Source organism: Homo sapiens, chromosome 6 (assembly GCF_000001405.40).
Source record: "Homo sapiens chromosome 6, GRCh38.p14 Primary Assembly".
In the NCBI taxonomy this organism is placed as follows: Eukaryota; Metazoa; Chordata; class Mammalia; order Primates; family Hominidae; genus Homo; species Homo sapiens.
The window spans coordinates 155,380,333-155,405,102 of NC_000006.12; the positions used below are offsets into that span (position 1 = coordinate 155,380,333).

General features: G+C 38.6%; 1 protein-coding gene across 1 annotated transcript in view; it reads right to left on the reverse strand.

Annotated features, from left to right (window-relative positions):
• Positions 15,036-24,770, reverse strand: part of NOX3 (NADPH oxidase 3) — a 60,472-nt gene continuing 50,737 nt past the window's right edge. The window contains exons 13-14 of the mRNA NM_015718.3: positions 16,477-16,630; positions 15,036-15,242 (exon numbers count right to left, since the gene is read on the reverse strand). Of these exons, the coding sequence (NP_056533.1) occupies positions 16,504-16,630 (127 nt within the window). The 3' untranslated portion in view covers positions 15,036-15,242; positions 16,477-16,503. The remainder of the gene's footprint in view (positions 15,243-16,476; positions 16,631-24,770) is intronic.

The following is a 24,770-nucleotide window of genomic DNA, read 5'->3' on the forward strand; positions in this document are numbered from 1 at the left end:
CAAAGCAGAATGTGTATCTATTTATATGAAGGACCTGGAAAAGAATTTATCTCAGTAGAAAAATTAGAGGCTCACGTGTTTGGTCCAGAATGTTGGGGTTTGAGAAGGTTGACACATGATAGCCTCTTTCCCCCCATCTGAATGCTAACCCAAGTGATAAGGTGGAATAAAGGAGATAGAGGGAAAAAAATCCAGTTTTATTACAGTGCTGGAAAGCATGGCTTAGGAGGGGCAATGGAGGCTTCCATCTTGAATCTCAGAATAGATAACCTCACCCCCAATCACAGGCAATGCCATAGGCTCCCGCTGCAGGGACAGAGTGTGCCATTGAGCTTTGGCATGTGGAGAATACACCAGAGCTTGAGTCCTGTATGGGCAGGAGCTGAGCTGCTCATGCCCAGTATTTGCTTCCAAATTTGTCAACGAGATAAAGCAACTCTCTTTCTTAGAGAAGAGTGAGGGAGCTGGAGAGTTTCCAAGAGTGTCCTCTCCCTGTTGTTTCTTCGCGTGAGAGAATGAAGCCCGGGCTCTGGAGCCTTCCCTCTTCCAACCCTCACCCCACTGCGGCACAGCTTGCTCGTCAATATCTTAGGAGATGTGTTCCTGAGTGGAGCCCAGTGCTATCATTCTGTCCAGTTTCTGTGGAACAGACTACATTTAGAGTGATGAAAAGCTAAAAGAGGAAGAAGAGAAATGCTGGGTTATTGAGAGCACAAGGCCTCACCAGCACTGGCTTTTGCAGCTTAGGCAGGAACTGGAGATGATGCTCCGAATCTACATCTATGCTCTCACCTTTGGGTGGCAGCAGCCTTCATGGTAACGTCAGCAGGCATCAGCAGCAGCACTGACAGCTTGGAAATAACAAAAACAACAATAATGATAAAAGCCAATATTAATAAGCATTTATTGTGTGCCAGGAATTCTGTTAAACAATTCACATGCATTAAATCATCCCTTTAAATGTTCTTATTATGAAAATTTGCATATTGAAAAGTAAAGTGTCTGAATAAGAATTACCCACGGATTCATCATCCACATCCAATAATTATATACGTTTTGCTGTATTTGAGTAGGTTTTTGGTGGAAGTATTTTAAACTAAGTAACAGATACGATGACAGTTCACTCCTAAATATTTCAATATACACCTCTGAAAAATAAGGACACTTACTACATAATCATACCATCATTATCACCCTTGTCAAAATTAGCAACAGCTCTCCAATATCATCTAATATTCAGCTATATTCAAATCTTCCCAATTCCCCACCACGAATGTCTTTTATAGCTCATTTGCTTTAACCAGAATCAAATTAAATGTCGCATTTGATTATGATGTCTCTTAACTATCTTTTAATATAGAAAAGTCCTCCTTCCTTTCTTTTTAAAATAGTACAATATAGCCTTTTTTTTTTTCAAAGAATGAATCATCACATTGGCTTTTGAAGGGACCAGAACTGTTGTCCTTTGTAACGTTCCTCCTTCTGTATTTGTCTCATTGTTTCCTTGTGGTGTCATTTAACCCATTCCTCTATCTCTTGTATTTAAAGTCTCAATTAGATTCAAGTAAAACATTTTAGCAAGAATCCTTCATATGCGTTGCTGTATGTGTTAAGTAGCATCACGCTGGGAGAAGTATCTACTTTCTGGTTGTCTCACCATTAATGACACTGACATTGATCATGATCTTAAGGTGGTGACAGCCTGACCTCCCACTGTGGCATTAGATCATCCAAGCCTCAGTGCTGTGGCTATCATGCACATTTGACTGGGATTAGGACTGCAGCATCTGACCCCAGATTCTTAGGCACTTTCTTCTCCTGACTCCTGTTAGCAGTGTCTTTAATCCATGTCAGAACCATGGCTGACCTTTGATGAGTGATACATTTCACCACCGTGAGCCGGTACAAGAAAAGAGGATAATGACAGAGAACTGTTCTGGGTATTCTCAGAATCATTAGCTATAAATTTATGAGAACAGAGTCAGATTTTTTTTTTTTTTGGTAAACTGGTATTATAAATAAAAATGTTCTCTGTTTACATTTTCACTCTTAGGCTATTTTGGCCTGCAAAAAAATATGGTTACACAAAACCAAGCGGGTTAGTAGCCACATTCCTACCCTAGTGAGGCAGATGTGGGAGTGAGTAGCTGCTGCTGGTGAAAGACTTGCAAAGTGTCAGGTGGGTCAGAAAAACCAGATGTCAACACACCCACTGTGCACATTCTTTTTTCTCTTAATCATATATATACTGCCTTGGATCGTTTGTTCTTGGTTTTTTTTTTTTTGTATGCCTAGTGTTATTTCCCTGCATGATTGTAAACCCTCTGAAGGCAGGCTCGGTTTTTGTCTTTTAGAAACAATGTTTATGTGGGAAGATAAATATATACAACTACCCCTATTCAAGACTACTTAGGGAAAATTGATTATATTTATCACGTGACCATGAGCCAAGGAGTCAATCTTTGAGCTCTTTCCTCCTCAGTTAGTGTTCAGCACTGGTCTGCACTGTGTGGTGGAAAGTCCGTAACAACTTGAACTGACAGCAAAAATGCCTGCAGGCTCACATACATGGGCTATGAGTAGAACACAAAACAAATACTTTTGCTCTGTCTTGGTTCTTGGTTCTTAGGGTAGCTTTGACATACAGAAAGTCTTAGAAACAAGGAAACAGGAACTTCTTCTTCTTTTTTTTTTGAGACAGAGTCTCGCTCTCTTGCCCAGGCTGGAGTGCAGTGGCGCGATCTCGGCTCACTGAAAGCTCTGCCTCCCGGGTTCACGCCATTCTCCTGCCTCAGCCTCCTGAGTAGCTGGGACTACAGGTGCCCGCCACCATACCTGGCTAATTTTTGTATTTTTAGTAGAGACGGGGTTTCACCGTGTTAGCCAGGATGGTCTTGATCTCCTGACTTCGTCATCCGCCCGCCTCGGCCTCCCAAAATGCTGGGATTACAGGTGTGAGCCACCGCGCCCCAGCCGGAAACAGGAACTTCTTAATTAAGCATGTTAGAAATGTAAAAACATGTATAAAAATAAAAATGCTTATATCTAAGTGTGTGTGTATAGGCTGGGTGCTCACGCCTGTAATCCCAGAGCTTTGGGAGGCAGACACAGGAGGACTGCTTGAGCCCAGGAGTTGGAGGCTGCAGTAGGCTGTGATCCTGCCACTGTACTGCAGCCTGAGTGACAGAGTGAGACCTGTCTCTTAGAAGCACACACACACACACATATATATGTATATATATAATGTATTTGTAAACACACAAACACACACATTCTAGAGAGAGTGACTAAATTTTCAGAGTATTCTCATTAGAATTTGATTAATTACATCAACTCATTTGAAATTTCCCCTTTGTATTTCTAATGATCTCTCTATGTGTATTTGTTTTGTCTGTCCAGTTTGGACTGTAAGCTCCTTGCAGACAGCCCTGTTGTTTTATACATTTTACTCAACACAATACTGTGGGCATAATTTGTGCTCAAGGAACACTTATGACAGAATCACAATAAAGGCCCCACATTAACTATTCTGAGGATGCCAGAGTCTGGTCAGCATTTTACTGTTTCAGATGGTATTTGACTTCCACATAAGATTAAGCCTGCATAGTTCTTTTATTACTCTGTATTTTGGTCACCCGTTACTATTCTACACCTCCAAGCATTTTCTGCTAAAGAAGCTGACTGAGCAAACCCATGAAGATATTTTTCATTTCCTTTGATGGAGCATAATGCTTTCGTATATAAACACAATAACACAGTCATTACATATGCACTTACATTATTGTAGCGGCTGTGTGCTCAGCAACACTCGCAGCCAGGCAGGGAGCCCAATAGTTCTCTTTTCCATTCTGATCTAAATTATGGTCATAATAAAAGAGTTTTCAATCAAGGTAAATACAATTGCGTCCTAGCATAACATCTATATTCCTGCTCTCTCTCTCTTTTTTTCAAAAAAATTCTTTCCTTTTATTCTAGGTCACTCACCCTGATACGCATGAGATTGTCCTCTGGTGCGGATAACAGCCTTGCTCCTCAATGAACTATAACAACGGCTGTAAATGCATCTCCTGTAACATACCTCTGTGATTTGCAAAAGTGGGAATAAATCAATGCAGGGAAGAGATGCCACGTTAACCCAGAAGCTAAATGTTACATCATGTAGTGCGAGGCTGGGGAAGAGAGAGCCTGCTTTTTCCTGGCAGTACAATATCTTTGCGCTCGTTGCCTCCGCCACAGCCCCATTAAAACAATCATTCTGAATCTGCGGGAAATTGTCACCTCTTTCTTTCCTGCCATGGCAGCTGGTATTGGAGGCTGCAGACATTGCTCATTCCCTTCAAGGTTCTTAGCACACACGCAAAACAGAAAATGAAGCTTAATTTATTAAAAAAAAAAAAAAAGTGTCAGCGTACCCTCAGGCTCAGCGCAGGCACCAGGGAGAAAAGAAAAGATAAATGCCTCTAGGTGAACTGGCACCGACTCTAATTCTCCACTCACTCTGCTGCTCCACTGTATGTATCGCATTAATCATGCTGGATGGGTAGACGTTTCAAAAACTTAAGCAATTTTAAAACAAAGATGCACCATTTTACAAATACAATAACATAACTTTATTTTGTGATTCTTTCTTTGTACCAACAGTGAATCTGAAAAATGTGCTGCAGATGGTAGTACAAATAATTAATGCCTGGGTTGGGGACGGGAGGGAGAAGCATGAGGAAACAGACAAGTGTGGGCAGAAGAGGGGCCATGGCTGCCTTCTCCTTTCTCCTCTTGTGATCTTCCCCAGATCCTGGGTCACCTTTGATGACCTGGGTGATGTCCCTGGGCTCCTGCTTCTGAGAACTGAGCCCTGCTTTGGTTATGACTACCTTGTTCTCCTGTGAGTTTAGGAATCTCTAGTCCCGACACCCAGGCCTGTGACTGGCGCCCTGTCTCCTGTGTTTCATCTTCCTGATAATGACACTAGCCATCTTCAGTCCAACGTGCTGTCCGCATGGGGTATCCACTATCCTGCCCTTCCCTTTCCTGGGAAGGGCCTAGCTCCTCCAGGAAGTCTTAGTGTCCACTGTGGCTTGGCCCATGACTCTTCCTTGGGCACTACACTCTCGCTGCATGCCCGGCTGCTTTTGCACCCCAGACTGGGCCTGCCTCCCTGCCCCATACTGCTGTAGTTTGGGAGGTTTGTGGCAGACTGCTTCTCGTGTTTTCTGACTGCGTTTCTGTCATCCTCTGACCTTCACTCTCAAGTTGGAAGGAAATAAATGAGGAGAAGTGGAGTGTAGGTTCCAGGAACTCAAGACAGTGGGACTGTGGCAAAGACAACTGGCACTCGATGGACATTTTAGTGGATTGGAGTATCTTGGTGCAAAGTCCTAAAAATCTGAATCCTCAAACGATTGAGACAAGTGTGTGTGTGTGCTGTGGGAGAGGCTAAGAGAGCCCAGGTCTCTTTCACTACAGGTTTCTGGGAAGTTTCTAGACATCTGTTGTTGAGAGAATAGCCAGGCTTTCCTTGTCACAGATAAAATGATGAATTGGACATGCTCTCCTTGGTTCTTGAAAACCAAATGTCCAAACTTTCACCTTTAATTTGTAAAACAGGAGTACAGAGCCTCAGCAAGGATGAGCTTGGGAAACACCATCTACTGAAGAAAACCCATGTCCCAATAATTTGGGCAATCATCCCTTGCCTAACAGAGCAAAAATCTACCAAGAATATTTTAGTTATTATGAGATATATCAGGTGTATACAGAATTACAGCTTATGTAATAAAAATTTAAAAAGCAATTTGAGAAATAAATATTACTGAGACTATTGAAGCCCTCTTTTATTCTATCTGTTCCCATTCTCTCTTCCCTCTCATCAGAAACAGTGTTCTGAATCTGGGGCTTATAATTTATTTTCTGTACAATTCTTTAAACCTATAATATGCATGTGGTTATATGTGTGTATGTTTGTGTATAAGGAATACTGTTTTGTAGGATTTGCAATCTTGTTTAGTGGTTCCACTCAACGTGTATTCTTCTACAATTTTTTCTTTTTCTCAATATGATTCTAAATTCTGGGATCAGTAGACCGGCACGTGGGCCAAATCCAGCTGATTGTTTGATTTTATACACCCCTCGAGCTAAGAATGGTTTACATTTTTAAAGAATTAAATGATAAAGAAAATCAAAGAAGTAGACATGGCAGAGGCCATATGTGGCCAGAACAACCTAAAATATTTATGATCTGCCCCTTTATGGAAAAAGTTTAATGGCTCCTTTTTGTTAGTTCTGTTGGGTTATTCTTACCTCTTGATTCTTCTATATAGACATTGAAAAAATTAGCCTGTCAAGTTTCATGGAAAGCCTCGTTTTGATTTTGTTGAAATCACTTTGAATTTATAGATCATTTTGAAGAGAACTGACATATATATGGCATTGGACCTTTTGATATGTATTAGTTATCTGTTGCTGCTTAACAAATTACCAAAAATGTGTCAGCTTGAAACAATACAAATTTATTACATTATATCTATTTATTTTAGGTCAGTCTCCAACATGAATCTTACTAGACTAAAATAAAAATGTTTGCAGGACCGCAGGCCTTTTGGGAGCCTCTAGGGCAGGATGCATTCCCTTGCCCTTCCCAGCTTCTAGGGGCTGCCCATGTTCCTTGGCTTACAGCATCTTTTACCTTCAAAGCCATTGAAACTATCACTCCAAACTTTGCTTCTGTTATCACATCTCCTCTGACTCTGTCGGACTCTTCTGCCTCTCTCTTTCATTTTTTAAGATCCTGGTGATAACATTGAGCCCAGACAGATAATCTAGGATAATCTTTCCATTTCAATGCAACCATCTCAAAGCAGCCATAATTTCATCTGAAACCTTAATTCTCCTTTGCCATATAATCTCACATGTCACAGGTTCTAGGGATTAGGATGTGGGCATTTTGGTTGGAGGAGAGGGATTAGTCTACCTACCAGAAGCCTATCTAGTGAGTTTTTTCTTTCAGTTAGTATATTTTTAAATTTCAAAACTTGCATTTGGTTCTTTTTATATCTTTTATTTCCTTGCTAAGACTATTTTTTCATTTGTTTCACGAGTGATTTTAATTGCATGTTGGAATGTTTTTATGATAGCTGCTTTAAAATTTCTTGTTAGATAATTCCAACATTTGTGTCATCTTGGTGTTGGCATCTGTTGATTTTTCTCATTTGGGTTGAGTTTTCCTAGTTCTTCGTATGACAAAAATTTTGGATTGTATCCTGTACATTTTGAGGATAATGTTATGACACTCTGGTTCTTATTTAGATCTTCTATTTTAGTTGGCAGTTAGCAGGTTTAGGTTCAGAAACACACATCCTGGCCCACTTTGGTGGTTTGTGGTTCAAATATCAACTTAGTTTTCAAAGGCGTTGCCATGCTATTTTGGTATGCCCCACTTATGTGTAATCCAGAAGCCAATCTAAAACCTGGGCAGTATTCCTCACCAGGGTTCAATTCTCAACTCACTGGCTGTGTTGATTCTGGTTGGTTTCACACACTGGCCTCTTGGGAAACCATCCAAGATTTCATGCACAGATTTAAGAACTCTTTCCTTCAGCTCCCTTCTGTCTGTGATTCCCCCATCCCCAACACACACTCTCTAGCCTCTGCTAGATACTTACTAAGTGCAGGGCAGGAATGATTGACAGGTCTCCCCCTTACACTCTCGGATTGGGGTTGGAGGCAGGGTGTGGGAATTGGGGTGAAGGTGAAGGACTAATACTTCTGTCATATTTCATGTTAGCACAGGGCAGATATGGTTGATTAATAGAGTTTCTTTTTTTGGTAAAAGTTTCAAATATTTTGTTAGAATTATTTATTGGCACCTTGTACTGTTTGATGCTGTTCTTATACTTCCAAACATTTTTAAAAAGTAAGTTTGACTTTTGAGGTAAGTTGATTGGAGATTTGAAGAGTATGGCACAAGATTATGATACGAATATGTCATGATGATGTTCCTTTCCTTAGGGGATTACTTAATTGAATCACCAAATGGAGATTGGGTCATGATTGAGCTGTTGTCTTTAAGACCAATCAGGAATTTTTATTTTTAATTACTTATTTATTTATATTTTTAAGGAATTTTTATAATAATTTGAAGGTGTTTGGAATTGATAAAGGATTCTTAAAACAGTTTTTCTTCTTTTCAGCATCTGAGACGATCCTGGGAGAAAGTAACTTAGAGGGCTGCAGATATTCTTATAAAAATTAATAGGAAAAACAATTTAAAAATTGAAGAAAAAAAGAGAAGAGAAAAAAATCCCAACATGACAATAGCTAGTAGATGTATAAGAAGACACTTTAAATCATTTGGTAATGAGGTCACTTATGTTGATAGAAACATGTTCCACTTCATTTACCAACCAGGGAATGACTGGTTGATGAAGCATGGTGAGCAGGGCTTTATTCTTGACAGTAGCATGCAGGATCTTTGCCTGTAAGTTTGTATAGTTTGCATAAAGTGGGATTAGGCTTAAGCAATAGTATTAACTTGGAAATTTGCATTGTACATATTGGAGGCCACAAAAGTACAATTTATACTTTTCTGAAAGGTTTATAGGAAAAGATGAAACAAGTAAGATTATAAAACAGTGGTTTTGGGATAGGGTTTGGAGTGAGTGATGAAGGAAAGAGGAACCAAAGATGATTCAGAGGTTTTTAGTGATTTTAGCTTAGGCATTTTGGTAGATGATGGTGCCATTCACTAAAATAAGAAAAGCTGGAGGAAGAACAGCATTATGAAGAGAAAAAATAAAGAATTTGGTTTTGGATATGTTACATTTGAGATGCTTATTATATTTCTAATGATGGAGTAGGCAGTTGGATATATCAGACTGGAATCCAGGGGAGAAGTCTACACTAGAGTTTAAATTTTGGGCCTCATCAGCAAACGGATGGTGTTTGAAGCCACAGGATTGTATAATATTAGTCAAGGGAGGAGAATAGACAGAAAAAGAGCAGAGGGACTATGACCAATTCAAAGACATGCCAACATTGTGAAATTGGATAGAGGAGTCTGAGACAAAAACAAAGAGATTGTTTTGACAGAAGTCAAAAGAAGGAAGTGTTTCAAGACAGAAAAATTGGTCATCCATTTCAGTTGCTGCCAAAAATAAAACGAAGTTGAATTTCACACCACGGAGGTTATGGTGAGCCTTGAAAATAGTTATAGTTGTAGAGATAATCCAGTTGAGTGTAGTAAGAGAGAATGTTGTGGACATTCAACTCTGGACAGTTATTGCTCTACACACGTGCACACACACACACACACACATCCACCAATAGACAAGATAAAGGAAAAATGTAATCTAATACATTCAAAAACTTGTGCTCAAGAGAAGGAACAGAGGATTCTGGAAGAGAATGGAGAGCAGCTACATGGTTTGGCTTCTACCTCATTTACTTCTCTGAAGCCCCACAGGTGGTCAAAAAGTCCCAAGAAATTTCATTAAAACTCTTGCTTGTGGAATGTAAAGAGAAGATATAATGTTGGGAAAGTATGAATTAAATGGATGAATAAAGAAAAAAAAATCAAGAGAGCCAACTTTCTCTGTTGAAAGAGAAGAATCCAAAATTCACACTCAGTTGGGGAAAGGGTTCAAAGCTTGGGAATATCTCATTGTGGAAATACATTATATCCTCTCTCCTCTACTCCATTAGTTGGAATGAACTCAGATACAGGACAGTCCATGTCATCTCAGAAGATAGAAAGGAACCGAAAAATTGAACGTATCTCCACACCACTCAGGCTGAGCTTCTGTGCTCTTCTGCACAACACTCCATGCCAGCTGCTGTTCTCTCAGACTACAAAAAAGCGGATAAAAACTGAAATTCCTGGCTTTAGAAGAGAAAACATGGTTCACAAAAACCTGTACATGAGTGTTTATAAAAGCATTATTCATAATGGCCCCAAAGTGGAAACAACTCAATGTTCATCAATTGATGAATGAATTAATACAGTGCAGCATAACCATACAATGAAATATATTAGTTTGGCAAAAATAATGAAGTACTAATACTTGCTATAACATGGATGATTATTGAAAACATTATGCTAGGTGGAAGAAGCCAAACACAAAAGACCACTTATTGTATGTTTTCATTTACATAAAAATGTCCAGAATAGTTAAATCCATAGAGACAGAAAGAAGGCTAGTGGTTGCCTAGGGCGGGCAGCAGTTGAGGAGAAATGAAGACTGACTGCTAATGGATATGGACTTTCTTTTTGGAATGATAAAAATGTTCTTCACGGCTCATGCCTATAATCCCAGCACTTTGGGAGGCTGAGGCAGGTGGACTGCCTGAGCTCAGGAATTTGAGACCAGCTTGGGCAACATGGGGAAACCCCGTCTCCACTAAAATACAAAAAATTAGCCAGGCATGGTGGCATTTGCCTATAGTCCCAGCTACTCGGGTGGCTGAGGCAGGAGAATCGCCTGAACCTGGGAGGCAGAGGTTGCAGTGAGCCGAGATCGCACCACTGCACTCCAGCCTGGGCGACAGAGCAACAGAGTGAGACTCCATCTCAAAAAAAAAATGTTCTTCACAACAGTGAAATTATGAAATCAACCCAAGTGTTCATCAACAGATGATTGGATAAAGAAAATGTGGTACATATACACAATGGAATCTTACCATAAAAATGAATGAAATCCTGTCATTTGCAGCAACATCAGTGGAACCGGAGGTCATTATGGTAAGTGAAATAAGCCACATGTTCTCACTCATATGGGGGAGGTACAAAAGTGGGTCTAATGAAAGTAGAGAGTAGATTGGTGGCTACCAGAGGCTGGGGAAGGGTAGCGGGGAGGGGGAATGAAGAGAAGTTGATTAATGGGTACAAATATATGGTTTGATAGACTAAACAAGACCTAATGTTAGACAGATCAGTAGGGTAACTATAGTTTACAATAATGTATTGTACACTTTGAAATAGAGGAGTAGAATCTGAATGGTTCTATCAAAAGGAAAAGACAAGTATTTAAGATGATGGATATCCCAAACACACTTATTTGATCTTTGCAAATTATATGTATGTATTAAATTACCACATGTACCCTGGAACTATGTACATCTATTATGCATAAATAAAAATGTTCTAAAATTTACTGTGGGAATGGTTACACAACTCTATAAATATACTAAAAATGATGAAATGATGCATTTGAAGTGGGTTAATTTTATGGTATGTGTATTATATCTCAATAAAGCTATGGGGGAGGGGAGAAACATGGTCTTGGAGATGGTGGGGTGGAGGGAAACAACCACAAATTTATCACAATATAGAAGAACCAATAACATATCTAGGCAGAGTCAACTAACATGAGAAGGTGAAAAAAAATACGTGATGTATATAGCAAGTGTGGAGATACTACAGGCAAAAAGGGAAAATACCATGTAGTAGAAGAAAAAGCAACTCAATCTGGTAGAAATCATAACTCAGGTAATTCTTCACTGTTTGTTTATGTATGGAGAACATAATGAGAATATTAATTTAATAAGAGAGATAAAAGACAAAACTATAAAAAAGAATGAGATCACAAGGGATATTGCATTCTAAGGTAACAAATCAAGGCTCAAAGCAACATCTTTGTGGAACAAATTAAATATTTTTTTAAACAGTAAGGAACAGAATAAATATCACTGAAAGCTGGTTTCAGGACTATAATCTCTCCCTAATCTGAAATTCAAAAAAATATAAAAAATTATGAAAAGTGAGAGTACTTTTTTGTTTGTAACCCCACTTGGCAGCATAATGTCATAATGTGTCCTGAACAGATGTGAGGCTATTTATAATCTTTCTTTATGCAAGTTGAATATCTACATTTATAGTTTTGTTTGAAAAAATAAAACATTAATGCTTTTGAATACTGGGTGCTTCCCAGACTCTACTGAGAGTATCATACAATATATGGGATATGCATTTGTTATTTTCTAAAATATGAAATTATTTCGAATTCCAAAACATATCTGGCTTCAAAGGTTTCAGAAAGAGATGGTAGGCCAGTGATAAAATAGGGGAAATGATATGTAAATAAAAGAAACAAAGAGATTAAATTAATTAGAAATACTAAAAGAATGGAAAAAAGAAAAAAAAGATCCAGTAGAAGGATAATTGATGCTTTTGAAATGAGGCAAACAAAAGCAATAGAAGTATATTTAAAGACCTAATAAAAAAATTTCTGAAGTGAAGAAAAAAGTGTTCAAAAAACACACTGGGCCGGGCACATAATCCCAGCACTTTGTGAGGCCAAGGTGGGTGGATCACGAGGTCAGGAGATTGAGACCATCCTGGCTAACGTGGTGAAACCCCGTCTCTACTAAAAATACAAAAAATTAGCTGGACATGGTGGCGTGCACCTGTAGTCCCAGCTATTCGGGAGGCTGAGGCAGGAGAATTGCTTGCACCTGGAGGGCGGAGGTTACAGTGAGCCGAGATCACGCCACTGCACCCCAGCCTGGTTGACAGAGCATCTCAAAAAAACAAAAACAAAAACAAAAAAACCACTGCAATACAGGAAAAATTCATGTGAAATATCAATATCAAATTGCTACAAAGTTCAAAGATAAAATTATTTAGGCATCCAGGCAAAAAAAGTAACTTACTTACAAAGGGGAGAGGATGAATTTGGCCTCTTACTTCACCACAGCAATATTCAATGACAGAAAATGCTAGAGTCCTATCTTCAAACTAATAAAAGGAAGAAAATATGGTCTAAGAACACTAAATTCAGCCAAATATCAGTATGAATTAAATCAGGAAATATAACAGTTGTTAGCGCTTCTTAAAACATATTGCTTGACAGTCAAACAAACTAGTAGCTTAGGCTCAATAGAAACTCAAGAATAGAGAAGTTATGTTGAAAGGAATAGCGGTGGGCATTGAATCCATGTGAGGTTACCCCTCCTAGTTTACGTATAAAGCTTAATAAAGCCTACATTTAATCAACATTGCTTTCACCCTCCTGAACAATGCATGGATCTTGGAATGACTTAATTCCAGTGTCATCTCCCCATCTTTCATATTGTTGTCCGTATCCTTAGTTTTGTTTTATTTTTATTTTTTTGTATTTATTTATTTATTCATTTATTTATTTATTTTTATTATACTTTAAGTTTTAGGGTACATGTGCACAACGTGCAGGTTTGGTACATATGTATACATGTGCCATGTTGGTGTGCTGCACCCATTAACTAGTCATTTACATTAGGTATATCTTCTAATGCTATCCCTCCCCCTTCCCTCCACCCCACAACAGGCCCCGGTGTGTGTTGTTCCCCTTCCTGTGTCCAAGTGTTCTCACTGTTCAATTCCCACCTATGAGTGAGAACATGCGGTGTTTGGTTTTTTATCCTTGCGATAGCTTGCTGAGAATGATGGTTTCCAGCTTCGTCCATGTCCCTACAAAGTAGTTTTGTTTTTAAAAGAACATTCCCTCTGAAATACTCATTAATTTTCTTTTACAGTCAGTGATTAGAGATTTTGCCAAAATGTTTTTCAATGTCTTTGCTCATCATTGCATATTGCATTCCACTAATTGTCTTTCCTCCTTCCTTAAATATATCCTTTTGTAATTATTTTGGTGAAGTAGTTACATTTCTGTTTTCTTTTGTTTGGAGATATCTGTATTTTGCCTTCACCTTTGAATAATAATTTCACTACGGACAAAATTCTCAATGGATACTTATGGTTCCCCAGCACTTCGAAGATATTATTTCATTATCATCTGGTTTCTGTGGATGCTTTTGAGAAGGCAGCTGCCAGATATACTTCTGTTTATTTGCAGGTAATTGACCTTTTCCTCTCTGGTTGCTTTAAGTTCTTTTATTTAACAATGATGCTTCTGGATTTGAAATTTTCCTTCCTCCCCCTCCCCACTCCCCACCGCCTTGCTTCCTTTCTTTTCCTTTCTGTTCTTTTTGTTTTCTCTTCTTTCTCTCCTCTCTTCTCTTCTTCTTTTCTTTTCCACATTTTTTTTGGCATCTCTCTTTCTCAGATATTATTCTAGATAAACTTTAGGATATTTACCCTTCCAAAAAATCTACAGAGAATTTAAAATTTGACTGGAATTTCACTTGACTGTTAATTAATTAGGGACAAATTTGTAACTTTAGTATGTTTAATATTTCTATTTAGAAACGTGCTATTTCTATCCATTTAATAATGTCTGCCTATGAATTGCATGTTTATTTATCAAATCGTGTTGCATAATTCTTGTTAAATGAACTTACAGGTTTGCCAGATTTTTGTTTCTGTTTTGAAGAACTATTTCATTTTTTAAATTCCACATTTTCTATTTGGTCATTGCTGCATTAAAGAAACCTATTGACTTCTGTATTTTTTTGTGTCTGGATAGGTTTGATTCTACATAGTATGCAGGGAAGTAGCATAAAGGTCAAAACACAAAAGGGGGTGCAAACAGCATCCCCGGAGCTTAAAAAAAGTGGCAAAATCTGTGTTTAAGGGCAAGTATATTCTAATTTACTAGACAAAATTAGATGATCAAAAAGTACTTTTATTTTCAAGTAGACAGAGAAAGAAAAGTAATAATTAAACATGACCAAGAGAAAAAATTTTAATATATTTAATATCCTGCTAAAGTAAAGATTAGATTTAACTATAGAAATTTCTGGTTGCAAAGCCTGAATTAAACTTAAATGGGGAAATGATTACACAGAAAGACTGGTTCTATTCAAATTAGTAGAGTTTGAGTTATATGCATCAAGCAATACCTCAAGTTACTGAGAAATTCTAATGCAGAGATAGTAGAAATAATTTTTTTAGACATGAATGGAATATTCCTAACTTATAAAATCAATATCATCATAGAAATCATCAGGTCAACATAAAAATCTGAGGATAAAGAAAAAGAAGTGATCAATTTATAATTTAGAAATACTTAGAGAGCTTAAGAGGCTGCCTTTGTCAAAACATATCATGTCAGATCAATTTAATTCTCTTTTATGGCAGAATGACAGTCCACAAAGTTAAGAAGCCTTTGAGAAACATAATATATTTTAATTTCAGTAAATGTTTTTGTTCTGTTGTATATGACATGTTATTTATAAGCTAAGGAAGTATGGTATAGTGTACTGTTCACAATAGTTAATTATTATTCACCAGTTCCCAACTGGGAGCTCATATCAACAGGCCGTCACAGGAATTCCTGGTGGAGTTCTTTGGAATCAATAACTTGATTGAAAACCTAAACAAAAGATTTGAGATATTATCAGTGAAATATGTAGATATTACAAGCTACATACCAGTAGTAGTGTCTGGGGCTAAACTTCAAAACAATCTTGAAATATTAGAAAAATTCTAAAAAATTAATCAATATTAGTAGCAAGAATTATAAGATGTGAGGACTACTTTGTAAACATCTTGGGAGTAAAATAGCTGCATAGTATAGAAAGACTGGCGCAATGGGAATTAAAAAAAATCTCAGTTATTTTGTGGGGCAGAAGTTGAGTAGGAGTATAAGTGTTAAGAAGACCACAGACCAAAATGTGGTAGAATAACAAGCATTTGTTAAAAGAGATTGAGAAAGAAATATGAAAGGAAGACAGAAAGGAAGGAAGGCAGAAAGAAGGAAGAAAAGAAAACATAAAATTTATTTGTAAATATATGGCATATAAGCTCTAAGAAAGTCCCTCTTTTGCTCAATACTAGTCACGCTTCTCAATGCATTTTAAAAGGATGTGAAGAGATGGAATTGAATTTGAAAAAGAGTAACAAGATGATGGAAGGGCTTGAATATATATCCTAGGCCAAAAGGTTAAAAATTTAGTATTGTTTGGACCAGAAAAGGGATAGGAAAGGGATGATTTGATTATCATTTTCAAGTATCTAAAGGATTTTTGTGAAAGATAACCTCCATTGGTGATTTCTCCGGTCTACAGAGGATGAACAAAAGCACAAAAGGAGCTTAAGTTTAAAGCAGAAAAGATCAGGTTTGGATATAAGGTGGGTGTCTCTGCCATCAGGGAAATGAAAATTTGAAATGATTTCTAAAGGAGACTTCAAGCCAAGAAGCAGCGTGAGTCTCCGTGTTGGATGTAATGTAGGGAATGGAAACAAGTTTGGGAAAGACAGCCTATGCCAGGGGTCAGCAAGCTCCAGCCCACAGGCCAAATCCAGCTCGCCCCCTGAGTGTGTGGATGGTCGATGTGCGAAAAGTGACTTTTACAATGTTTAAAAATTTCATGTTATAAGAAAATTATATGAAATGTGACTTCAGCGTCCATCAGTAAAATATTATTGGAACACAACTATGCCCATTCATTGACGTTATTGTTTGTGGCAATGTTGGCACTTTACAATGGCAGAGTTCAGTAGTTGAGAGTCGGACCATACAGTGCATAGAGCCTAAAATGATTACTGTTTGGCCCCTTATGGGAAGAGTTTCCCAATCCCTGACCTGTATGATTGCAGCCACTTACACAATGCCTGGACTTGACCTCCAAAGTCTAGAAGCTCTCCTTGTTGTAATAGAAATGAACACCTCTGGGGTCAGCTGATGAATACAAGTGGCACATCTTTTGAAGTGTCCTCGAGAGAGCTTTAGGTCCACAGAAGAACACGCCAATACTGCTGCTGCAGTAGGGGTAAGAAAAGGAAATAAAATGTCACCAGGAGGCAAGGCCAGCCAGAAGCCAAGACAATGATAAGATTAATGAAGTGGTTGTGGCTTTACTTATTTATTTTTCTCCCTCCATGTCGTTTTTTCTTAGATTCTTTTTTTCTACCTACTTTCAGCACCATGCTCTCTCCTAGGTTCCCAGCATCCTCCCCTAAATTAATCAGGGAGGTGGAGCCAAGAAGACTGAGGCTGGAAAGGGGCCATGAAACTGTTGAGGGGTTTTGATACAACACCCTGCAATGTTGGCACTTTACAATGGCAGAGTTCAGTAGTTGAGAGTGGGACCATACAGTCCATAGAGCCTAAAATGATTACTATTTGGCCCCTTATGGGAAGAGTTTCCCAATCCCTGACCTATATGATTGCAGCCACTTACACAATGCCTGGACTTGACCTCCTTTTTGGCCAGGTGACCTTGATTCATGTCTTCTTGGATACGTGACCAGATGTTAACTTCCTGAGAACATAAACCTGGTCTGTTTTATTCCAGCACCTGGAACAGTGCCTGGCATACAGTGGACAATCAACACACATTTGCTGAATGAATGACTAAATGGCTTTCCTGAGTAGTATCTGCGTGGTCTTGGGCAAGTCACTAGACCTCAGTTTCTGCATGTGGAAAAGATGATAAGGACTACGTTGTATGTTTTATCAAAAGCAAGATGAGATAATACATTCAAAAGGGTTTTAAAAAGGTTAGTTATCACTAATATCCTGTTCAGCCCTGCCTTTTTATAGATAATAAAATTAATGCTAAAGTAATAGCAATTTAATTAATTTCTCCTGTTGGAATTACTTTAATTTTCAAAGAAGGCCAGAAGGGAGAGCTGGAAAAGAAAAAGACATTGCTGAAAATATAGTCACCCAAACGTTGTCATCTCTAATCTTGACATTTCAGAAAACTATGTCAGAGAGATACTTTTTGCATATAGTGGCTATCCCAGAGCTGCTCAAATGCCTTGCAACTTAGCCTACATATAAACACCACATCTGCACAGGGTTTCAAAGTTGTTTCTGGAAGTTGGGGTGCATCAGTCTCTATAGAGATTTTTAGAGACCATGTCTTTTTTCTCTTGTCTTGAATATTACTATTCTTTGTAGCATTTTTTCCAATCTCTAGTATAAGCTGAATTAGTTACTCTAGTGTGGATCAAAAGTTCTCAAGCTTTACTGTGCATAAAATCATCTAGGCAGATTGTTGAAATGTAGATTCCTAGGCTCGAATCCAAGGAATGCATGTTTAGTGAGGATCTCGGGTGGTGTTGAGGCAGATCGCCCTGTGAGCCTCACTTTGAGAAACACTGTCATCAAGACATTCTTTGGGCTTCAGGACCAGCTCACTATACCATCTCTGTTTCTTCAGACATGGATCTTGCTGGGAAGTGCCTATAGAGCCTAGTTCTTCTTAGCTCATATGTTAACATGGTTCTCTGCCATGTGTCATAGCCACATTTTAACTGTGTGTTCCAGGACCATCACATCCACAGTAGAAATTGATGGTTCCCCTGCATTTCAAACTCCAGCTTCAAAGGAACTTATCAATGGCTTAATTTACAAATGACAATATGTTTAAAATGTAGCAGTACTACTTTCAAAGAAATCATTCCCATGGCTAAATTTGAGAAAGTAATTTTTCAGAAAATATTTCCCATGGAAAGGTATGAGTTTATGGCTTAATGAAGAGATTTTGAGGTGTTTATGGAAATAAAAGGCAATGGTTAAGAGTGCTCTTGGCTCCACCACTTCGTTGCTGGGTAACTTTGGGCATGTCAATTACCTTCACAAAGCCCCCAGTTTCTCATCTATAAAATGGGGAGAATTATAGAATCTAGCTCCGAGAATCTCTGTGAGGATCAAGCAAGACATTGCAGGTCTGGCCGCTGGTCCTGTGCTTGGCACATGGTGTGCTCTCAGGAATGGCTAGCTTCCTGATATTATTTTCCCACGCGATGGCTATTGGTGTCTGCCTGCTCCGTGAAGCTGAACAGAAGAGGTGGTGCGGGGTGTTAACACAGAGGTGATTATGTAGACTTACTGAGATCAGCACTAGATTTTTGAGCTCTGGACTGAAACATTTTGAATGGTAGATGGATCAGGCGAGACCCTTCCCAGTGAGGAGTCACAGCTTTGCTTTGTGTCTGATGCCCAGAGGTGTCCTTGCATCTATTTTCAAAGATGCTGTTATGGGTGGTGATATTTTTCCATTAGTGTAGATGTCACCAAAGAGATTGCCCACTGGCCCACTCCAATGGGCTAAGACTGCTCTTTCGTTTGCAGCAACAGTAACTGCAGACCTGATGGTGCCCTTTGATGCTCTGCCTTTAAGACTCCATTTCAAAGGATTCTGATTGCTGCTGCCTGGTGTTCTCCTGGTGTCCCCAGCAGTTCACAGCTCCCCTGAGTCTTTTGAAGTTGTGGCTATCACACTGCACAGCTAAGTCCACACTTTACTCAGGGGCCATATCCGCCGTGGTGATGCAATCACCAAAAAGTCTCACAAAGGCCATTTATTATCTACCTTCTGCTAAGGTGGAAAGGTCAGCCCTTCACTGGCTCTCTGTGCATCACTGTCCCCACAGACAGCACAAGCAGTTTGCCTGGCTTACTCTTCTCGGCATTTGTGACTCCAAGTATGGAGAACTTCTTGTCACAAATGCATACTGTGAATCACAGGGCAGAGAATCCAAGCCAAGTGTTTAAGGGACAGATGTGGCAGCTTCCCTTTTTTTTTTTTCTTTTATGAGGCAACGGACAAGTGCAACAGAACCCTAATGGGGTTGGTAAAGAAAAAATTCTTCTATAAAATTTAATTACCCACAATCGCTTGGAATTAAATAGAGATTCTCCGCAAAAGAAGTATAAAAACGCAAGGTGCTATTCTTCAGTTTACAGCCTGCAAGCCACAGAGCTTGCACACGCATGGGGGAGCTGGATCGGGGACAATGTTAATGGCATTGATCAGTCTGGGCTGCTGACTTTGATGAGAAAAGGACAAATTTTACACAAGCTGCAAAGATGGCTAACATTCACAGCATTATTTTTAGCTCTGATAAACAATAAAGAAAATTCTCCTTTCCCTCTCTATGTCTGCTAAATAACTATTGTGCTCTTCTCTGTGGGGTTGGTGCATTTTTCAAAAACAGTTCAGCGATGCCATGCATGAAAGGCATCCAAAATATCACCCACCAGGAGATTTCAGCCCAGCAGATATATGGGCGTGTGGGTGCGCCCGGGAGTGATCCCACCACCTCGCTGAATTCCCAGGTTCTGCTGCCGTGAGCCCTTCTCTCCTTAAATTGTATGTTTGTTTTTATGTGTTGGCTTTTATGCTTGGTAAGTTATAACCCTGTAGGGGCAGACCCTAAACCCTATTTAAAAAAAAGCAAATTACTTTATACCCTGAGTGCATTCTGCAAATAAAATCGATAAACAGAAGCTTCCCGTGGATTTATGGAGGCTTAGAAAGAAGATGAGAGCTACAAACTCTGTATCAGACAATGGACACAACTTCTGGTTAATCCTTTCTAGTGAGTGTTTTTCATTAGAAATGCCTCCAAATGATTCATCACATAATTATATTTTGTACAACACCTTCTTTTTTCAGAACCGCAGATGATAATTGTGCTGGCCAGCTTTTTTTTTTTTTTTAACCTATCTCCCAGTTAATTTGTAGCAGCCTACGACATTACTTTTCTCTGTGTCCTAATTACTCAGTTGCTCATGAGTTGCTGCAGATGTCCCTAACCAGGCTCACTGTTGTGATTCTGCTCCTGCCCACACTCCACAGGCTCTGTTTTCTTTGGCAGCCAGAACTGTGCTGTTCGGACACTTGTCCCAGCTCCCTCATTGGTCTCATGGTGCTGCCACTTGCACATACTGGCCATTTTGCTAGGCTCTGAGGTGCATAGATAAAGTTGCTTATAGCTATAAGCCCTTGAGAAGCTTATGGTCAAATGGGGAAGAAAAATGAAAGCAGATGACTTGTAGCATCCGATCCCAGGGAATGGTAGAGCCATTTTTGCCAACCCTTCCCCACCCCAATAAAACAGTAACATATATATGCCTTCATGCATAAGTAACCAAATATTTTGCCAAACTAATAATTTGATAGATAGGTAATGCCATTGAAGAAATTTTGCAGTATAATGATAAATCCACCCTGTACTCACCCATCTCTCCAATCCCCCCTACCACAAATGGAGTAATTTCAGCAATTTTTATTGAATCTTCACTTGGGTCTAACCAGAGAGATTGATGCCCTCTCATGGGAAGGAACTATGGGAATATGCTGACAATTTCCTCATCATAAGTTTATGGTGTCTTTATTTTTCCCATGAAGCTGTAACTTATCATGTGTTGTATTTCCATTTAAGTCTATTTCTTTGAGTATTCTGAACATTTTAGTCACATAATGAATGTTTAGGATATCCTGTTAGATAAAGGGCCCTGTATGCTATAATCAGAATGCTAATTTCTTAAAAATATCATTTTAAAACATTTTGCACATATGCACATACAAATGAGAATTGAAGGGTGCATACACAAGCAAATGTGGGTCCAGATGGACACATTTACTCAATTTAGTATAAAGGTATTTTCACGTTTCTGAAAACAATAGGTGGTCTAAAATACATTCATGCAATATGGATTAGAAGCCCCCAATCATATGGTAAGTTGACACCTTTCTTCATCGTTAGGTTGGGTTAAACTGTTCTAACAAATGGTAGTACTCTTCTATTTTTTTTTCTTCAAAGTTAAAAGAAATACGTCTACTGAAATTACAAAAAAAAAAAAAAAAATGACCAAACTTTAAAGTTTTTATGGTAATTAATTACATCAAATTTACACCTAAAAGGCGTGGTGAAGTTATTAACAGATAGGTCAAAAGTAGAAAACTACAAATATTATCTGAAGGGTAAGATCAAAGATTTAAGGCCTATGGAAAATTATTTTATTCAATTAATTAAAAGCAACTGATCCACAAATTCAGAAAGCTGAGTATCCGTACAATGTGTGTTTATCAAAAAAGTAACTAGATGTGACAACGGTATTTTTATTTTCATTCTGTCTACCTTCTTGGAAATATTTTCCTGATTTTCTGAACATTTACCTAAAGCTTGTGAACGTATTGACAATGTTTACAAAAAATGCAATACAGTTTCCATTTTTGAAAAAGATACCTTTCTCTAGATTAGTAAGACATAGATGGCAATGAATGTATTTAATTAGCCTACTATATTTTAATTGGGAGAATAATTTTTAATGTTTTTGTTTCATAGTACTTTTCTGTGCTTTATCTAACTGAAATACTATACAATTTTCACATGCATGTGAATTTGAATATATCAATAAAAGGCTTATAATGCATCCACTTAATATTTGTTGACTGTCTTTCAAAACTATACTTGTGTTTTTGTAATATAGCTAATATAATTACCAAAATTAATTACAAACAAAAACAATAGAACACACTTTTCTATTTTCTGTCAGCCTTTGATCTATTTTTAATTTTTCTTCTCTCTCCCTTATTTGTATTCATTTTGATGCCCATCAATTTGTTTCTCTATTACTGTTATTTTTGCAATTTTCTGGTTCCTTTATAGCTTGTACTACTCTCTTTGATCTGCTTCCCTTCAAGCTTTATTTTTGGTCCTGTTTTTCATGTTCTATAAAAAATCTTTTTGCCCCTCTTCACTTTATTCTTTTGATTTAACTCCTTCTTAGAACAAGAACAAACTCCAGCTTTGAGTGAACAGGTAAATATTTTTGAAAGAGTAAGTCCGGAGAATCCTCGGCTTCGTGCTGATGAATAGAAATGGTTGAGAGCCTACTTCAAAGGCCCTCAAGAACAAAGAACCTTTTCTGAGGCCACTAACAAATCCACCAATTTCTTCTGACCCATCTTTGCCAAAAGATATGAGCTAACGACAGGACAGAACCGTCTTGTAAGAGTAGCCAGGCAGGCTTGGGAACAAACATATCCTTGACATAATAAGGGGAAAACATACTGTTTATCTCTTTAATAACCATCCCGAGGAAAATTAATGTTACTTTGTCCTTTGTGCAGAACAGTAATTGGATTGTGTGTTTCATTTACATCTGGACAAAGGCCAGGATATTGAAATACTTCTCAATATTAGATTTTCTTGTTTAAAAATTAGATTTTATTGGCATTCTCTTTCCGAGATTTCTTCATTAAAAGCTTCATTAAACATAAATCTCCTTTTACACAGCAGAAAACAAAATTATTTTAAGGAGGTCATTTTAAAAGCCTTTTGAAAGGGTGGTGCTAAGCTTTTGACCGAAGGCTTGTCTTTTCCCAGGGATCTGGCATTCCAGGGACAAAATCATTGACTTTGCCTTCATGTGTCTAATATTAATGACATGGATGCTTGAAGCTATATAACAAGTTACCATGTTCTAGAGTCTAAGGCTATTACAAATATGATATTAAAAAATTTGGGACTGGGAAGTATGCTGTAGAGGTTTGATTCAGTGATTCCAAACCTTGGGGGCCTCGTCTACTCTGGAAGAGATGAAGTCATCCATCAAGGAGAGAGAGTTTGCATAGCTACCGTGCTGCAAAATACAATTGAGCATTAAGTACGTTTCCGCACTTCACTTTGATTATGGCTTCTAGAAAGGTATGAGCAACAGGGAAAGTGATGGTAATACAGTTTTGCCACCTTAAAACTGATTACTCTTTACTCCCTGCGAAAAAATTGGACAGGCCCACTTCTCAGCACTGAGTTACATAATTTTCTAGGCAGAGTTTGTGCAAACCCAGTTTTATCCTTGGTCTCTTGATGCTCCGTGTTCCTGGCTCATGCCTTTTTGAGGGAAGGGAGATAATTAAATAGTTTGGTTTTAAAGGCCTTCCGCACTGGGCTGCAAGCTTTGTGTGTAAAAATAAATAAATAAATAAATAAATAATAAACAAACAAACACCATATGAGATGTCAAAAAGGGACAATCCTAATAAAGACTGAGACTATCTAGAAGAACTGAAAACCAAGATATAGATGTCCATGTCAAAAGCCTGCGAAGTGAGAACATTTATTCCATGATGACTGAAAACCGAACGTAAAACATTTATCAGTGAATATATATATATATATATTTTTTTTTTCCCAAAAGGAGAAAATAGCAACAAAAACCCCTTGAGTTTTCTCATATAAGCTTTTAATATTTTGTTAGTTTCTACCTACAATCTTTTCAAGGAAATGGCAGATGAAATGATCTCGTCTCTCCTCTGGGTGGGTGTGAGGTGGGTGTGGTGACTTAGACTCAGAAGCACTGGGGGCCCTGGAGCCAGGGCTGGGTGTGGAGCAGGAGCTCAGAGGAACCGGATTCTGTGGCTGCAGAAGCCAGGATGGGTTGGAAGCACCTCATTTGGAGAGAAGGTAGAACCAGAACTGGATTCTAGGCCATATGTCAGCAGGAGTCAGGGCAAGAAGCAAAATGGAGCAAGGAGGTGTCAGGAAGTGACACCTGGAAAAGTCTCCAAGGCCACTGCCACAGCTTATGAGGCATCAGAATGAGCCCCGTGGGGCAAGAGCAAGATTGTGAGGTTGTGCAGCTGGTCCACGCCCTCCCTCCCCAACCCTATGCTCAAAGTGATGCTTTTCTTGGGGTCTCCTGCTGGAAAGCCTTTACTCCCTGGCTGAATGTGGGTCAGGAGTAATCCCCACAAGCATGCCTTCAAACCATCTCTTCCCAGGGTGTAAACACTCCTGTTTCTCTACAGGTTGCTGGGTGCAGGGTGCAGAGAGGGTTGGCAGGGGTCTCACAGAGCACAGGGCAGTTGAGGTCTGAGTAACTTCACAGGCAAGATGGTGACTGGAATCAGATGGTTATGAATCTTGGACAGCTACCTGATCACTCCTTCCACATCTCCCTCCTCATTAACCTCCTTCAAATAGCTGGTCCAGGGAGTCTAATGAATTCCATGACAACTGATAAAAAAGAAAATGGCATCTTTCTGGTACAGAAAGAGTGTGAAAAAAATGTTAAAAAGGAGCAGCCAAAATGACCATAAGATAAATAATATTCACCAGAGAAGTACTCTGTGAAGCAGAACAAATATGAAGGAAG